General features: G+C 40.9%; 1 protein-coding gene across 39 annotated transcripts in view, besides 1 other annotated feature; it reads left to right on the top strand.

Moving 5' to 3' along the window:
* Positions 2,217 to 2,286: a silencer, noted in NCBI's record as "silent region_5735". NCBI's record gives its function as "represses an Ori minimal core promoter by ATAC-STARR-seq in GM12878 lymphoblastoid cells {active_cell/tissue: GM12878}" and the evidence as "EXISTENCE:reporter gene assay evidence [ECO:0000049][PMID:35858748]".
* TRIM9 (tripartite motif containing 9) overlaps positions 2,278 to 19,278 on the top strand; it is a 119,840-nt gene continuing 102,839 nt past the window's right edge. For all 39 annotated transcript variants that reach the window (NR_170652.1, NR_170646.1, NR_170642.1 and 36 more), the window contains exon 1: positions 2,278 to 3,265. Coding sequence is in view for 26 of the 39 variants with exons in the window: in NM_001387378.1 (NP_001374307.1) it covers positions 2,444 to 3,265 (822 nt within the window). In the remaining 13 variants the exon portion in view is untranslated. The remainder of the gene's footprint in view (positions 3,266 to 19,278) is intronic.

Here is a 19,278-nt window from a genome sequence, read left to right as displayed (position 1 = left end):
GTAATTACAGGGATTTAACCAAGTAATGTATACAAATAAATAAATCCCCTGTTTGGAACAGGGTGAACTCTCAACAAATGAGTCATTTTAAGAGCTCTCCTAGGATTGACTGATTTAGCTAATTCCTAAACAAACAGATCTAACAATGAAATCATCTCAAGCGACTTCATAATAGACCAAATCTTTCTATATTGACTATATTATAAACCTGTGTTGTTCTTTTTGCGAACCCAACACTGCATTACACCATGAGACATCCTCTAAAATTCTTCTTTACTTTGAACTAAGCATAAACTTTCTGCTAATAAGATCTCTTAGATGATATACTATTATAAGCAGAGTTCAAACTCATACAAAGTGTAACAGCTGCTCACCTTGCTGGTCCAAGATATTGTGACTTGTGGTCAAATGCATACAAAAGCCATAAAAGGACACTCCTTTCTAATATTTTCTCAATAATTAACTTTCATTACAATTCAATTAATACTATATTGAATATAATTATTAGTAATTTCTCTTGGGACCTATAAATTAAGTGTATCCTGCAAGTGCAGCTAATGTCCCAACCATACCTGAAGAAATTTTATCTATGTCTGTAAACAGAGTGCATATACCTTTGGATGCTCTGGTCTCAACTAGTTGAAAGCCAGCTTAAAAATAAATCACGTCACATTTATGATTAACATGGCTTTAAATAACAATGGGGACTTTATTCCCCCACACAATGATCAACTACTGTTCTCACTGCAACTAAAGATGTTGAAAAGATAACCTAGTTTATTGGACAATTTCTACAAGGGCAGTGTAATAAAATGTCCATTTTTTTTCTGGACAATAAAGTACTTTTAAATTATCAACATAGCTGCATATAATCAAGTTATCTCCTGTCTGGAAGGTGGAAAATTGGAATATTTCTAGAACTTGCAAAGAGTTTTTGTCCTTTACTTCATGAATCATTCAGCAAAAGCCGGCTATGTACTATTTCAAATGTTACTACCTCAGAATGTCACTTGACTCAAAGATTTTCCTTTCCTTTTCTTCTTCCTCCCTCCCTTTCTTCCCTTCCTTCCGCCTTTCCTTTCCCCCCCCCTTCCTTCCTCCCTCTCTCCCTCTTTCCCTTCTTCCCTCCCTCCCTCCCTCCTTGTACAGGGACTAACACTAGAATCACCGCCTCACCATGCCCCTCGTTGGAAGAAACAGAAAGGCACACGATGCTGTAAGCTATGGCAGATGCCCAGGGCACGTGGGGTTGAATAATGCTGTTTGGAGTGAAACACTGAGACTCCGCAGTCACACAGTGATTCATTTACAGAGCTTTACTAAACTACGGGCACTCAGAAATAGACAAACTGTTCTTGCCTCAACCGAACCAAAGGCCCAGCGGGCCTCGAAAAAGCTCAGCCAGGTGCTTTGGGAGGCCGCGAGGAGGAAGAAGGATCCGTGGAAGGAAGCACGTTCACACCACGGCACTGAGGCCTCTGGGCCGAGCTATAATTTAAAGCATGAAACGAAGGGGTCATAGATTCTGACTAATGCTGACCATTTCCATCGGTTACCCAGTTGAATCTCATGTCGACACTAGGAAATCGACTTTATACATGCTCTTTAGGAAACGAGGGACGCAGGATGAAAGAAGCCAAGAGTGTCGCCAGGGCTTGCGCCAGCGCCGTCAGACTCCCGGGATGGGGGAGCTCCAGGGCACGGCGTCAGCGGATTCACGGAGAAGGAGAAAAGCCCCACTGCCGTGCAGAAGCCTAGGCCCGGGTGAGACGCCTGCGAAGGCTGCCAGCAGCGGAAGAGAAGGGGCGTCCTCCGTGCTGCGCAGCACTCGCCCGCGGTAGGTGGGCGCGGAGCTCAGAGCTGGGAGCCAAACGCAAACGCTGGCGAGAAGCCCCAGCCCCCTCCGGCAGCCCACTCGCTGCGGGGAGGGGTTTCTCACGCCCCCAGCTCCTGGGAGACTGCACCGGAGGTCGGAAGTAAGCCGGGCGAGGATGAATCATCCCGCCTAACTCCTCCTTCCCGGTCCCCTAGCCTCCGCACGCCGGCCCCCTTCAGAGATCTTGCAGCCGCGAGCGAAGACTGCCCTATCCTCAGACTCTACCGAACCCCCTGTGGCCTGCGGAGACGAGGAGACGGACGGGTCTGGTGGCCAATGAGAGCTTCGATCTCTTGCCCCCCGCCCAATGGGCCGCTGCTCATGGGCCGGGGCGGGACTAGGAGGGCAGGTAGGGGCGGTCCGGGCTGGCGCGCGGCGCGGCGGCTACGCGGCTGCGGCTCACAGAGCTAGCGCCTCTCTGGGTGTCCGTGCCAGTGCTGCGCGGGAAGGCACCACCACCACAGCCGCCGCCGCTGGCCAGGGTGCTGGACAAGACGGGCCCGTCGGCCACCTCGCCAGCTCAGGCACCCGCTGCAGCCGTCGCTGTCTCCTCCCAGACCGGTCCCCATGGAGGAGATGGAAGAGGAGTTGAAATGCCCCGTGTGCGGCTCCTTCTATCGGGAGCCCATCATCCTGCCCTGCTCTCACAATTTGTGTCAGGCGTGCGCCCGCAACATCCTGGTGCAGACCCCAGAGTCTGAATCCCCCCAGAGCCATCGGGCCGCGGGCTCCGGGGTCTCCGACTATGACTATCTGGACCTGGACAAGATGAGCCTATACAGCGAGGCGGACAGCGGCTATGGCTCCTACGGGGGGTTCGCCAGCGCCCCCACTACCCCGTGCCAGAAGTCCCCCAACGGCGTCCGCGTGTTTCCCCCGGCTATGCCGCCACCGGCCACCCACTTGTCACCGGCCCTGGCCCCGGTGCCCCGCAACTCCTGTATCACCTGCCCCCAGTGTCACCGCAGCCTCATCCTGGATGACCGGGGGCTCCGCGGCTTCCCCAAGAATCGCGTACTGGAAGGGGTAATTGACCGCTACCAGCAGAGCAAAGCCGCGGCCCTCAAGTGCCAGCTCTGCGAGAAGGCGCCCAAGGAAGCCACCGTCATGTGCGAACAGTGCGATGTCTTCTACTGCGATCCGTGCCGCCTGCGCTGCCACCCGCCCCGGGGGCCCCTAGCCAAGCACCGCCTGGTGCCCCCGGCCCAGGGTCGTGTGAGCCGGAGGCTGAGCCCACGCAAGGTCTCCACCTGCACAGACCACGAGCTGGAGAACCACAGCATGTACTGCGTGCAATGCAAGATGCCCGTGTGCTACCAGTGCTTGGAGGAGGGCAAACACTCCAGCCACGAAGTCAAGGCTCTGGGGGCCATGTGGAAACTACATAAGGTGAGTCCTAAGAAAACCCACTCCTAACTCCCTGCGTCTCCGATCATCCGGTTTTGCAGCAGACGGTCCCCGTCTCTTGCGCACAGCGCATCCCAGTGGGGGCGCAATGCAGGTGCCTTCGATGTTTACCTCCCTGGTCTGGTGCATTGCAGGAGGCATGGGGGAATCTTAACCGGCGCACGGGGGAGTTGAATGCCCCCACAGAGTTGTTGCGGGGATGCCTTAGAGCGGGTCTCTCGGGGCGCGCTGCCTGCGAGCGGGACTCAGGGCGCCCCCTTTCCGCGGCGGGTCTGCAGCCAGTGGCCGCGGCCAGTGTGTGGGAAAGCACTGCATAGCTGGGTAGAGCCGCGCCAGTGCCCAGGGCCGCTAGGCACGCTCGAGGGCAGGGCGGGCTGCGAACCCTCGGGGAGGGACTGGGATGGGGGCGGTGGGGTCGCGCGGACGGCGGGAGTCTGTCGCTGCTGGATAGGCGGACCTGGTGAGGCACGGCGGAGGGTCGGGGAGACGCCGCAGGCGGAATACTGATGAGCCCGGCTCTGGGCCAGACCTGGCTCTCGAGCTGGAGAGAACGCGGGGTCCTGGTGCCACGTGCTCAAAAGACAGAGCGGAGAGGGCAGCCAGCGGTCGCCATGGCAACGCGACGTGCAGGCTTGGGCCTGAACCCTTCCGGAGTTGGGACCTGAGACTAGAGTGTCAGGACCGGAGTTTGCGCAGTCGCGGCCTGGAAGCCAGACAGGTGCATCTCCTAGGGAAACCTTCTCCTCCCAACTATACACACACCCACTTCTCCGGAATTCAAGCCCTTTCCTCTTTCAGTAGTTATATGTGCAAACTTTGGGACACCTGTTACCAGATTTATCTTTCCAGTCTCTTTTGATGATATTTCCACCATGGCTAGACACGAAGAGGCTTTAGCAACATATTCTGTCGTGCCACTCCTCTGCTCAAAACCCTCCAATTTTTCCCACGCTTCTCAGCCTGTCCTACATGACCTCTTCCATTTTGGCCCCTTCGACCTCATTGCCTCCCACTTACTCCCTCTGCTCCAGCCACACTGCTTCTTACTGTTCCTCAAACGACGCCAGGCACCTCCCTACTCCAGGGCCTTTGCATTTGGTGTTCATTCAGCCTGAAGCTCTCTTCCCCAGTTACCTGAGATCCGAATGGGTCACTTACCTGCATCCTTCAGCTCTTTGCTCAGGTATCATCTTTGCAGCGCCACCCACCCAGACACCCGCTAGTTCCCTCTCAGCTTTATTTTCCTCAGTAGTATTTATCCCTGTGTGGCATGCTATATATTTTAATTATGTTATTTTTTGTATTTATCTATTGCTCCCTGTACACACACAGACATAAACGAAATAAGCCTCATGAGGAAGAAGATCCTTATAATATGCCCACACTGCTTAGAAGGAAGGGAGCAACTCTTGAGGAGATGTGCATGAATTTGCTTTTCATTTTTTAAATGATCCATTTAGTTGGGGCTGTGGAGTGCAGGGCAGGGATTCAGGATGGTTGGAAGGAGCTTTTCTTTACATCACTGAGTTGCATACCCAAGGATGAGATGGAGCAGTGAAGATAGTGTCCAGGCCTCAGCTGTGGCCTTGCTCAGAGTCTCCCAGAATTCCTTGGAGACTAGAAAGGGTAGCTTTTGCAAGTGGCCAACTGTGGAGTTAAGGCTGGAACATTGATATTTTGTTTACAGCAAGAAAAAAATGTCATTAATTTTCAGCAATCAGTGAAAGTTTTCTCAACTCCTTAACCCGGTTGAATGTGATCCATGTTTACAGTCATTCTATTCTCACATATAACCTATTAAATCATATTAGTACTGATGGGGATTTCATTTAGCACAAATTGAAGCCTAACTGGGCACACACCACTGTTTTCAGAACAGTCGAATTTAAATTTTTGAAAATGACATTTAATTTTGAAAGTTTTCAAAACTTGAGTTCACAGCTAGTTTTTTATTCATATTTTGATTTCACTTTTAAACTGCTAATTATAGTCCATGTTGAATTGCCCTACAAAGTATCCTTGGAACTAAAAAATTAATCACTCTGTCAGGAAAAAGAATTTAGAGCCACAAGGTAATTAGGATGGGTAAACCACAACATTATTATTTTTTTTATGACAAGCCTATCCTTGATCTATTAAGACCAAAAGAAACCTTTAAATCTCTGTCAAGCCCCATGTCAATTTGAAATGTTAAATCATTTGTTTTATTGGCAATAGAAATTATGAGTAGACAGACACTGGTGCTGCCTGGGTTGAGATTTAGATATCTACCTGCCACAAAAGAATGTTAAAACCCTTGAAACATGACATAAGTAGGCTAGAAGACCATTTATTCTCTGATCTTTTGCACATTTTTTCCAAAACAGTAAGGACACATAATTTTTGTTCAGTCAATATGAGGATTACTAAACTGCCAAGAAAAAAAATAAGACAGAAGGATGACAGATTTTAACATTCACTTGTCATCTGTTAGATGAACAACAAACATTACTCCCCCACCTTATTTACTTAATAAGGAAGTTAATGTGTTAGCAGCCAGTTTTCTCATATAGTTTATGTTTTAGTTAATGGTACTTCTATCTCCACAAAAGCCCATGGGCCAGAATTTCTATGCCCTGCAAAAATAGGACAGCAAAGAACTATACTAACTAGGTTTCCAAAATTGGGCAGTTAGTTATCAACACAGGTTATTACTAGACCTGAAAAGTTGTCATTCATATTCTATCATATTAGTCATTTCTACTGATAAAGCAAGTCCTGCAGATAAGTATTTCCCACAGGCATAAATCATCATCTTACACACTCAAGATATAATAAAATGGCTGCAGTTTATTTTTAAAGTGGTATTAAAAACATCTGGTTGAAATTCACTAGTTTTCAACTGGCCAGATTAAAATGTTTTTCAGATATTTTTGGTCTTCAAAACTCCATGAAAAATAATAACACATGAATAATAATAATAATAATAATGGTCTTATAAGTCAAATATTTGGTAGCAGTTTTTATTTAGTGCCAGTACTTAACTATATTCCTTTATTCAACGTACTTGTTAAAAGAATTATAACACCAAAAAAGTGATTTTGTAGATACTTTAAAATGGGCAATAGAAACCACTACTATTACTTTGTGATTTTAAGCAGTTCACATTCCTAAATCCTGATATTATCCTTGAATTCCTGGGGTTTCAATAGTCACTGAATCAGGGCTGGGTGCACTGGATTATGCCTGTAATCCCAGCACTTTGGGAGGCCGAGGCGGTCAGATCTCTTGCGGCCAGGATTTAAGACCAGCCTGACCAGCATGTTGAGACTCCATTTCTACTGAAAAATCAAAAATTAGCTGGGCATGGTGGTGCATGCCTTGTAGTTCCAGCTACTTGGGTGGCTGAGGCAGGAGAATTGCTTGAACCTGGGAGGCAGAGGTTGCAGTGAGCCAGGATCTCACCACTGCACTGTAGCCTGGGTGACGATGCAAGACTGTCTCAAAATAAAAAAATGAAGTCACTGAATCAGTAACATATTTGTAACAATTATTCTGTGTTCATGCTACTGAGCAAAGATTTTCTTTTCCTTTCTATTCTAAACACTATTCATTCTTAATCTTGTCTCAAATGTTATTTTTCTCTTACCTTTGTTTTTATAAATGAAAATTTGCAATTTAAACAATATTTTAAAATAAACTGTCAGTTAATATGCCTTCAATTCTAAAATATCCTGGAGAAAAATATCTGCTTAGCTTTATGGTGGCATCTCATTAAATATTTATGTAGCAAAATGTGTTATATAATGCCACTAAAATGATATTCAGTTAACTATATGTCAGCAGTAAACACAATATAGTCTATATATTCCTGTGGTAAATGTAACAGGCAGCATATGTTCATGTTTTTACATTTCTTTTGATTTACTTCTAGTACAATTAGAACATTCTGTGTGCCATGTAAACATTTTTACAGATATTAAGGAAAATGTTACAGAGAAGACAGTTATTCCTCTTTGTACCCAGGCATAATGGAAAGAACTAGATAACAGGAGATCCAGGTTATAGAACCAATGCTGCCACTTACTTGCAGGAAACTTTTTGCAAGTATCATCACCTGTCTGTACTTCCCACCTACAAAGATATAAGGGAGTTAAAATTACAATTGTGAAAGGATTTTGATAAGGTAAATTAAATGTTTATAATTTACTAATTTCAGTTCAACACAACCATAAACATTCATGTCAAACAGAGTCAATGTCTCACCAGTCAACAATTACTGCGTAAAAATCTCATCCCCCAACTTGGGGTACTTTTCTGGATCCTTTTCAGAGCATAGGGTACAGTCCAAAGCTGCTCTGAAAGGTGGCCTAAAAGAGTGAGACTCTTCCTCATGGGTCCAGAGAGAATATTCAGTTGAATTAAGCTCAAGAAATAAGAATACTATACAAAGATTTATATATTAAACAAAAGTATTCTGTTTTTCTCTAAGTAAGCTGAAATAGCTGATAAGGCTCCGTTTTTTTCAGATTCTCCAATAAAGATATTGTTACCAGTTTGAAGTAGCAGAAATTGTTTCTCCTGTATATGCCATGAAAAGATGCTATTAATTGGAGTTTCAGGTCAAATCACAGTTTGCATAAAGTAAGAGACAATTATCACAGCCATCTGTTCTTGTGTAATGAAAATAATGTACAGGGAACATTTGTCCTTACCATCAGTATGATAAATTGCACTTTCCTCACCTAAACAAGTTGGTGGACTTTTCAAAGTGTATATACACATACAACTTAACTTTGGCCTACAGAAGGATAGAAGAACCTATAACAAGATAAATGTTTAAGAATCAAATAGTTATAAATAAATATCATTTGTTTATCAGTTTTATCAGGGATTATTCATTGAAAGGATCAGAAACCCACTTAGGTGATCTCAGAGGATTTCATGGGAAGTGAAATAAAATCAACTCACAAGGAGAATGGAACTATAAAGCTAGAAACTAAGTTCACTCTCAGCATCAGTCAGGTTGGACTATGCTCCAGTAACAAATCTTCGAATCTCAGTGAATTATAATGGCATCTAATTTCTTACTTATTCATGTCAGTGTCCACTGAGAGTCTTTTTTTTTTTTTCTTTGCTTTAGCTTGTTTGTGTTGGTTTCCTGCCACTTGCAACCAAGAAGTCCTGACTTACAAAAGCATATGAATTAACACATGTAAATACTTTAAGATTCTAATTTTTATTCATCCTAGATATTGTCTTTAGAATATTGTGTTTAGAAGGCTGCATTCTGATGCCATAAATACAAATAGAGGGGCGGTTTTTGATTCAATGAAGCAGAAATCATATCATATTCAATGTTATCTACCCATTCACCACTAGGTAGCTTTTATTAGCCTTTTGGTTATTTTCTTCAGTTATTTTTATTGTGAGGTTTTTCACAAAGAGGCCGAAGAGATTTTTTTTTTTTTTTACCAACTCGAAATTACTCCATGTATGTAGTGATGACACTTTTAAGAACATTAGGCCAGACAGGGAGGTCCTGAAATCGAACTTCTGCCAATAATTGATTTGTTTGTTTTCAAAGGCAAGAAAACCTCTGAAGATATGTATGAGCACTCCACAATTCTTTTTGTTTTATCTATACTCTAGGTCAGCATTTCTCAAACTCTGCTCCCACGAGTTTTCCATAGTTAAATAAGTTTGAGACTCTCCATTCTGAACAGGCTGCAGGTAGTTCACATTGTATATTGTATCAATATGCCTATGTATACACATCCTGCAACAAACAAAGCCACTTGATTCAATGTAGCATTTTCCAAATTTGTCTAACTTTGGAAACTCTGTTAGAGTGCCACACAAGTTTGGAGAACACTAGTTCAGGTAGTTATTAGTGAATAAGTTAGTAAGTAATTGTTATTCATTTCTTGTCTATGTAGATTAGAATACCTAAAACTATGCCTGCAGCAAACCTATCCTTAAATCTTAAATCTTGCATTAATTCTTAAAGCAAATGTTAAAAGTTAAATTTATTTTATTTTTTAAACATTAAAAGTCAAAGAGGTAAAAATAATTAACATAAGTTTTGTAGTATTTATATGTATGGACTGGAATACATGTTGTCCCCCTTTCTATTGTAAATAACTCAAAAAATGATTTTAGGCATGAGGAATATTAATGTAATATAATTTTAAAAACCACCACTTCATTCTACTTTAGACTACTTTTAGGTTTTGTATACATGATACCAAATGACTGGTCTAATTGAGTTTTTCATTAATCTGTGGTATACAAAAATAGATTGTTTTAAAGATACTTTTGATGAGCAGAAAAAGACAATATGAAAAGCTTAAAACTTTAATATTGCTCTGGGGACAACATAGCATAACAACTTATGAAGTAAATGCTTGTTTAATGCATTCCAGGTTTTGCTAATATTTTTATATTGACATTTTGGGTCAATTTTTAACCTTAGAACAAGAGTTATCTATAAAATGGCCACCACAGTGTACCTACACTATCAGAGACCATCTAGGTTTTGTTAAGCAGCATATCTAATTCAGCCCAAAGGACATCTCAAAGCCAAGATCATTCCCCTGGGGTGTTCTCACAACCCTAAACTGGGCCCCTATCCTAAACTGAGACCTAACTCCAAGTGAGATTACCCAAGAAACCTAAGCAAAATATATCTAACAGCAGGTTTTCTTTTTTCTAACTGCATCTGTGTCAGGGAAATCATCATGACATCATTTCACTTTTGTTTGGCCCTGGTTTTGCCTTCTTTTTAAACTATCCAGGCCTAAAGTGCAGCATGTTGGCCATGGGTCTAGTCACAATCCCATCTGCCTGCTTAGCTATCTTCTCCTTGACACCCTCTGACTTTCTCCATAGAGCCCCTCCCTTCCTGTCCACTACGCTTGCCCTCCCCCAGTTTCTTAGACCAAACCTTCAGATCACCAGACCAACTAACCTGGCCACACCCAGTTGAGATGAGTCAGCCTCCACAGCTGTGGACCAGACCAGCCTGCCAACCGGGAACCTGATGCTGCTACCCCACCTACCAGAGTTACACCTGCACCAGCAGTGCCCGCCACCTCCCCCCACCCCAGCTGTGTTTAATTGCAGACACTTTTTTATTAAATAACTGTAGAGAGGGAGTTTTCTTCATTTTGGCTGATTCATTTTAAGCTGCAAAAGCAAGAAAACTTTTTTTGAGTGTCTAGTCATGAATAAATAAACATCATTTACTTTTCCCCCCTCCTCAACACGCCTGTCTCAAGAAACTCATCCACTCCGTGGTTTCAATTCCTGCTTGTACCTGATTGTCTGAAACAGATCTGGTCATTTCAGTCCCCTTCCTCTTCACAGTTTGGTCCCAGACTCTCTTCCCAGCCCTGTCACCTGTTCAGCTCACCCTCCTCCATAGCGTCCATATCTGTATTCTAACCCTGAGCATCCTCCCACTGTATTATAATTGCTTCTGTGAGAAATCTTCCACTGAACCCTAATAACTCAATTCCATAGACTGTTTCTTATCTATCTTCTTTTACTCCGTTTCTGTACTTAGTAGAAGTTAGATAAAGGTTGGTTCAATGAAGAAAATAATCAGTAGAGGAAGACTAATAACTAGCAATATAACCCGGTATTTTAAATTTCTCAAATTAGCCTGACAGTAATCATTAAATTTGAAAGCCTGTATTTTATACTTTTTGCTAAAATGTACTGGGCACTTACTACATGCAGGCACTGCTCTAAAGATTTTTACAGCATTTTCTCATTTAATCTTCATAATCCACACATCTTCCTGTGAGAAAACTGGAACACAGGAAGATTATGAAGTCACACCCGTTGTAATTGGCAGGGTCAGAGTTTGAATCCTGGCTGTCTGACTCTACAACTCACATGTTTAACTGCTGTTCTGTTCTACTTTCTGATAAGCCCAGGAAGCATACCTATAAAGCACAGTTTTATGAACTTACAAACTTCAATGACATAACAAATAGCTGGACTCCTTTAGTTCTCGTATATGAAAATTACTGAGAAATTGAGTCATTTTTCTCCTAAGATTCCTTGTGACAAAATAAATTTAGAAAAGAAATTGTGGTGCATGAGGAAAGAGGTGACAAGTATGTTGAATATTCCACAGACCAGATCATCGGAGGTATAGGCCTAATTACCTTACCTATATAATTACCTTACCTGACAGAGATGGGGTTCATCCTGCTTCTCTGTCAGAACTAAGTAACAAATAGACAGTAAGATTTTACCAGCTCAACCATGGAGCATTGTCTCTCTTCTAACAAAATAATGCATCCCAAAATTTACAGACATAAAAACCATAAACTAATAAGTAGATTTTAATAATTACAGACCAAAAAAACCATAAACTAATAAGTAGATTTTAAAAATAAAAATCCATAGGCATTTTAAGTATCTTTATTTCTACACATCTAAACATTTATAAGTCCATTTTTGAAAACACAAAACATGTTTAAATCTGTAAGCAAGTATCTGTTTACTTTCAGTTTTTTCTTGTACCTTTTGCCTATGTGGTTAAAAGAAAATATGCGTATTCCAGTTCAGAATAGAAAGCTGATCCACCTTTCACCATATAAAAAGGAATATGTGAACCGAGGAGGATATCGTTTAAGAATGGATTTAAACACTGCCAAATAAAACTGTTTTTCATAGCCTTGCATAGAAGCAGAACTGCGTGTTTTATACTAACAGTTCTGATCAAAGAAGAAACTGTCCCTTTTAAAGAGCTGGCTTTGGAAATAGAATGCTAAACATTATTCTTTGGTGCGGGAATAGCCACCTTCTGTCAGGAGTACATGTAGATGGTTAATTCTCATCCACCGCTGATTTATTCATGTGACACTGACTTTCTAGCTGGGTAGCATCAGTCAGTTTTATTGAGGTTTTTGCTCATCTCCTCTTACTCTTACTTTGCTTGCAGCCTGCACTTTAAGAAGTAACTGTGTGGCACCAAATATTCATCACTTACTCCCATGCTCCAGGAGAGCCTGAGAGAATAACACTGTTCTGGCCTGCGCTGTCTATCAGTCTAAGGCATTATTAGTCTCTGAACAAAGCAGGTTGCAGAGAGGAGTAAATGGCAATATAGGGAATTAAACACTTTCTGTCTAGAGCAGGTCTTTATAACAGGCTTTGTGATTTTGTAGAGGGCAAAATCTTGGATGGTCAAATATACACAGGCTCAACTGTAAGCCCAGCTCATCCAAAGCCAAATTACTCTATGACATAATCTACCTCTTTTGATTGTCTGTACTTTAGTTTCTTTTCATCAGTGCAAACAAAAATCAACAGCTGACTTTACTAGATATATATAGTCCATTACCTAGCACTGCTGATATTTATGCAATCATGAAGTGCATCAATTCATAAAACTAATAAAATGGTGTCACTTATGCTGTCCCATTATCTTGGAATAATGTTATCCCAAGAGCATTAGTCACATAAAATCAAATGTAAAACTGGACATTCATCCAATCTAGTAAGTCTAACATGGCACAGATAAATCTATGGTGCTTTTAACAAACAGCTATTATTGATTTTATTGACCATCAGTCATCTAGCCAAGACTTAGCAAGGAAATATGATAAACAGCTTTCAGCACATAATCAATGCAGTATGAAGCTGAATGATGTTTACACACTACCTTGTGTCATCCGGCTACCTTCTGCCATTATGGAAGTGAATCTATCATTGATGGAACTAAAACATTATTCAGTATTAAATAGAATTTGCTCTACTTTTTACTTAAAGAATCAAGAAATATGGAATGTAGGAACTTGTGTGAACACTGAATTTCCAGACTGGCCTCACCAAGCTCGATAAACAATGGTTCAAAAATGGCATATTTACACCTGAACTAGGACATGGATTTCTGGTTGCTCTGGTCACTAAATATATATAAAAAAAAAGTGTGGAAAAGTTTGAACTGATAGTAAGCTCTTGACATTTAGATATAAAGACTCTTACTAAAACTGTTGGTATTGTCAAATCAGTACATAAATATTTCCCATATATTTTTAAATACTATCAAGCTAAAAAGAAAATGAAGGCTTCTAATATTTAGAATACCCTCAATTCTTGTTTACTTGCCATTCATTATTTGATGTGACATTAACACAACATTTTGAGATTGCTATTATTATTTTCAAGGGGTTGAGTGATGGCCTAGAATCATATAGCTTGACAAAGGCAGGGCTTGAACGCTGTTTAACTCTCAAGTCCATTGTACCACACTAAATACTATTTTGGTTAAAATGTATTTCAAAATGTCAGAAGTTCACATTTTTTGTTATTGAGGTCATAGCCACTAATCAAACATTTTGCATTGAACCCTAAAGCTCGCTGGCATCTCCACTTGGATATGTATCTCAACTCCCTCACATTCAGGATGCCCAGATCTGAATTCACCATCTCTCTCCATTTTGTAACTCCAAGATTTCCTTCTCTTACTTTTTGAATAGGAACCAATGAATGCAAGCATCTTAACTCCACAGACGTGTGAAGAATGCTGCTGCAAAGTATTTTAAAACTAAGGATCTCTGCTGGGCATGGTACCTCACACCTGTAATCACAGTGCTTTGGGAGGCTGAGGCGGAAGGAGTTTGAGAACAGCCTGGGCAACATACTGAGACCTGATCTCTAAAAAAAAAATTTTTTTTAATTAGCTGGGCATGGTGGCGCATGCCTGTAGTCCGAGCTACTGAGGATCCTCCTGAGGCAGGAGAGTCACTTGAGCCCAGGAGTTCGAGATTACAGTGAGCCATGATTACACCAATGCATGCAGCCTGGGTGACAAAGTGAGACCCTGTCTCTAAATAAATAAATTAATTAATTAAAAAACTAAGGATTTCAAATAAACTACTTAAACCCCACACATATTTCAAAAAGTATTAGAAAACTAGACAAAGATTCACTTCATGAGAAAAGTATCGAGTTCTAGTCTATCAAAGGAAGCAAGATGTGGGAATCTGTTATATTCCAAGTACATAGTGGTCTAGGCACTGATCTAAGTAATTTCTATGTGTTAACTGAGGGAATTCCCACAACTCCATGAGGCAAGAACCATTACTATTCTCATTTTACAGATGAGGAAACTGAGACTAAGAAACCAAGAAACCCAAAGTCACAGTTCACAAGTGCCAAGACCAAGCTTTCCCCTTAAAGAGCCAGACTCTGTATTCTGTGCCTTAACCACTATACCTGCCATTACTGCACAGAAGAGAACCTACATATAGCTTTGGTCACACTCCTCCTGACAAAGTTGAGGTGGCTTGCTCTTATATGGGAACAACAAGTCACTTTTTTTTTGAGATGTAACTCACATACCATAAAATTTACCTTTTTAAAGTGTGTAATTCAATAGTTTTAATTAGATTCATTCACAGAGTTGTGCAACCAGCACAGAATCTAATTCCAGAATATTTTTATCATCCCAAAAAGAAACCTCAACTATTAAGTCACCACTAAAACCCCACAACTCCTGGCAACCAGTAGTGTACTTTCTGACTCTGTGGATTTGTGTAATCAGGATATTTCATATAAATGGAATCATAAAATATGTGGCCTTTTGCATCTGTCTTCTTTTACTTCGCATAATGTTTTTAAAGTTCATCCACCTTGTAGCATGCCTCAGTACATCATTCTTTTTTATGACTAATTATCCTGTACTAATATCCTATTGTATTGCATATAGCACATTTTGTTTATCCATTTATCAGTTGATGGACATTTGGGTTACTTCCACTTTTTGGCTATTACTAATAATGCTGTTATGAACATTCATATACAAGTTTTTATGTGGACATGTTTTCAATTACCTTGAGTATCATGATATAGTAAAAAATATATTTGGTCTTTGTCCGTGGTTCCTGGCTCAGAGCTCCTAAAACCCTTGGGATTTCCTGAGTTAGAAGTGTCTTGACCAGAGGTGACTCAGGGTGGGCCCCCAGGTCCCCTCAGGATGGGAGCTGGTCACTGTGAAGTCCAAATGTGAACTCTTGCATTTCTCTAATGACTAGTGATGTTGAGAATCTTTTGGTCACTGGAAAGACCAAATGTGAGCTCTAGGGGTGGGAACTTTCAGTGCCACCCACTGACCTCTGACCCCCAGGGCAGGGAGGGTGGCTGGAGATTGAGTTCTATAAAAACTCTTGAACAACAAGATTTGGAAAGTTTCCAGGTTAGAGAACACGTGGAGGTGCTGGGAGAGTGGCACACAGAGAGGGTGTGGAAGCGCCACCCTTCCCCTAGTACCTTACTCCATGCGTCTCTGCCATTTGGCTGTTCCTGAGTTGTATCCTCCATAATAAACCAGTAAATATAAGTAAAGTGTTCTCCTGAGTTCTGTGAGTCATTCTAGTGAATTATCAAACGTGAGAAGGGGATGATCCAAGGTTGCAATCAAGTCAGAAAGAAGTTCAGGTAGCCTGGGGACCCAGGACTTGGCAACTGGAATCTGAAGTGAGGGCAATCCTGTGGGACTGATCCTTTACTGCTGTGGAGTCTAACTCTGGTAGTTTGTGTCAGAATAGGATTGAATTGCAGGACGCCTAGGGATGTCGGTAAATTGGAGTCACTGAAGTACATACCTAGGAGTGGAATTGTTGAGTCACATGCTAACTCCATGTTTAAAATTTTGAGGAACTGTCCAGCTGTTTTCCAAAGAAGCTATACCATCTTACATTCCCACCAGCAGTGTATGAGTGATCGAATTTCTCCACATCCTCACTAACACTTGTAATCGTCTGTCCTTTTTATTATAGTCTTTCTAGTGGATGTGAGGTGAAGTCTTGTGGTTTTGATTTGCATTTCCCTAATGACTAGTGATGTTGAGAATCTTTTCATGTGCTTATTGGCTATTTTATGTATTTTTTAAGAGAAATGTCTATTTAAAGTCTTTGCTCTCATTTAATTGGGTTGTCTGTCTTTTATTATTGAGTTATAAGAGTTATTTATGCTGGATACTTATTCACTTTTAAAATGGAAGAGACATAGGTGTGAGCCTCTCAATTCTCAGACACTCACAGGAGGAAAAAAGCAGACACAGACCTGCGTGGGAGGAAATCTTATCAAGACTGGCCTATCACGACCTACTGCAAATTCTTTGCATCATATCTCAAAATAAGCCAATTCTGAGACAGAACTTGGATAAAGTCCATCTAGATTGGCTTTGACAAACAGGAAACATGGAAAAGTCCAAAAGCAGGAGGAAATCATTTCTTTATCAGGGTCCCTGGATATAGCAGCTGTTCCTCCTCCTCCTTACCCAACTTCCACTTCTGGCTTTGGAAACGGAGTCTACCTCAGTATAATATCATAAGGTTCTTGTCATCTTTGGCTCCTAAGGGTTACCATGGCAGTATTCAAAAAAGTCACTTCCAGGTGTCAAAAAGGTGGCCACCCACTACAGTTGAGAGTTATAAATGGATAGAATTGGGACACTGGATCTTGAAGATCATTTGCTCAACCCTCTGCAAAGTTAGAAAAATCCCAGAACATTAAATCACCCAAGTGACACAGTACATATTGCCAAGACCCCTTTTTTTTATTATTTACATTAAGAATTCTGAACATCCAAAGACTCATTTTTTAGTTGTTTCTCCGTGTGTGTGTGTGTGTGTGTGTGTGTGTGTGTGTGTGTGTGTGTTCAATAAAACTCAATTGAAACACCTATTCTCCCTTCTGGGGACTCTTCCATGCCCTCAGACACCCATAATCACATTTTCTTTCTATATTCCACATTACAACTATCAAAGTTTACATTAACATTGTTTTCTCTCTTTAAGGGGAAGTTATATATGTCTATACTATAACATGAATGTTCCCTCATTATAAGTAATATATTCTTTTTTTTTTTAACATTGGCTTTCGATAGACATTACCTTTGCCCCAAAGATCAATCTATTGGTAGGAGTTTCCACATGTGTCTAGAAAAGAAAAAAAAATTGTTGATGTTTAGTTTTGCTATGCCTCTCACACAGAAAACACATAGCAGTGTGACTGTCCCCTTGGATTGGCTGTCTGGTTGACTCCTACCCTAGCAAAAAGCACAAAAGAAGTTTCTGGGATGAGGCAAAATGCTCCTCTCCCCATTCATTTGCACTACTTGCTAGCTTTTTTGGCATCTTACCACTAGCACTCTCTACTCCTTCATTCTCCCTCTGTAGTCTCCTGTGTATCTAGAGTTTCTGCCTTCCTGTCTGCAAGCATGGCTTTGGTTCCAAGGTATGTGCCTTCCCTCCTGGTCATCTCTATGGCTTGTTCTGACCTGTGTACAGTCTTTTCATCTAGCTCTAGGTCGTTGACCACAAACTGAGGAAGTCTCTCTACCTAGTCCACCTGGTGTGTGTACCCTTTACCTCCAGCCTGACATTGACTTGCCCAGCCCTGGCATCATTCCCAGTGAAGATCCCAGTGCTGACAGTTCCTTGAATTATACCTCATGTGTAGCAGCTTTAGGGCTGGCTCTGATCCTAACAATAGATTATTGTAATGCACTTGCTCAATAACCTGTAATGTCAAAATAAGATTACATACACATCTGGGCTACATAAAAAATGCACTCACATAATATCTTTTCTTTTGAAACATGCCATAAAATGATTAAACTATATGTAAACACAGAATCCATTGACATATAGCCACCATGGAAATGAAATAGGACAAATACTTAGTAGAACCTGGAAGTTCTACTTACATTGAGGGCAGGAAGTAAAGAATAATTTATGAATTCCATCTGTAAAACAGGGAAGGAGTGAATTAGTAGGTCAGAGATTATTACTCAATTTGGAGGCTAGCCAAAGATTGGCCAATTATTCTCTTCTGAGTGGAGCCAAATAGTTCAATTATTATTATAGTTTCACTCTCTAAATTCCTCTGCTCCCTTTTACGAGAACAAAGTCATCAATTTTCCATTCACATTATTTAATTTGCATATTATGAAGGCTTTTGGATTAGTGTCTATTATTAAGTTTTCTGAAACTATATGTACAAAAGATTTTTGTGAAAGCACCATCAAAAATTAATCAAGAGCATTTTATTTTATTTTACTTTAAAATAAATTGTATTGTGCATATTTGAGGTTTACAACATGATGTTATGGGATACAGATAGAAAAATGGTTACTATAGTAAAGCAGACTAACATGTCTATCATCTCACTTAGTTACTTTTTTGTATGTGACAAGAGCAGCTAAAATCTACTTATTTAACAAAAATCCCTAATACAATACAATATTATTAACTACAGTCCTCATGTTATACATTCGATCTCCAGGCCTGTTTATCCTACGTATCTCCTCCGTTGAATTATTGGACTTACATCTCCTTCATTTTCTCCCCACCATGGTAACCACTATTTTATTCTCTATCTCTGTATATTAGGCTTTTTTAGATTCCACGTAAGTAATACTTTAAAATATCATACAATATCGTTGTATGTTGTACAGTAAATATCATACAATATTTTTCTTTCTGTGTCTGGCTTACTTCACGTAGCATAATTTCCTCATCTACTTAGCATAACCCACGTTGTGGCAAGTGGCAGGATCTTCTTTTTTAAGGCTGAATGACCTTCCATTGTGTATATATGTATTTATATATGTATACATACCATATTTTCTTTATCTGTTTGTCTGTTGGTGTACACTTAGGTTGTTTCCATATCTTGGCTATCGTGAATCCAAGAGTGTTTTTAGAGAAATTATTTAATTCATATATCTGAAAAGGTTACTATAAAATTTGTATAAATATTGGATTTGAAAATTAATTTCATTTAGTATTTGTTCATATCTCATAGTTTTCTTTAGATATTAAATCATATTTATCAGTGGCACAATATACCCACTACATTCCTTCCTGTCCTACTGTTCTTTTATCTCCCCAACCATGTTAAAGAATTTAGATCTGTGTTTAGAGCTCCGTCCTCACTGTAACTACCTCAAGGCCTGACATAGGCTGAGTGAGGCCCTTACTGTTGTT

Source organism: Homo sapiens, chromosome 14 (genome assembly GCF_000001405.40).
Source record: "Homo sapiens chromosome 14, GRCh38.p14 Primary Assembly".
NCBI lineage: Eukaryota > Metazoa > Chordata > Mammalia > Primates > Hominidae > Homo > Homo sapiens.
This window is presented reverse-complemented; position numbering and strand designations above follow the sequence as displayed.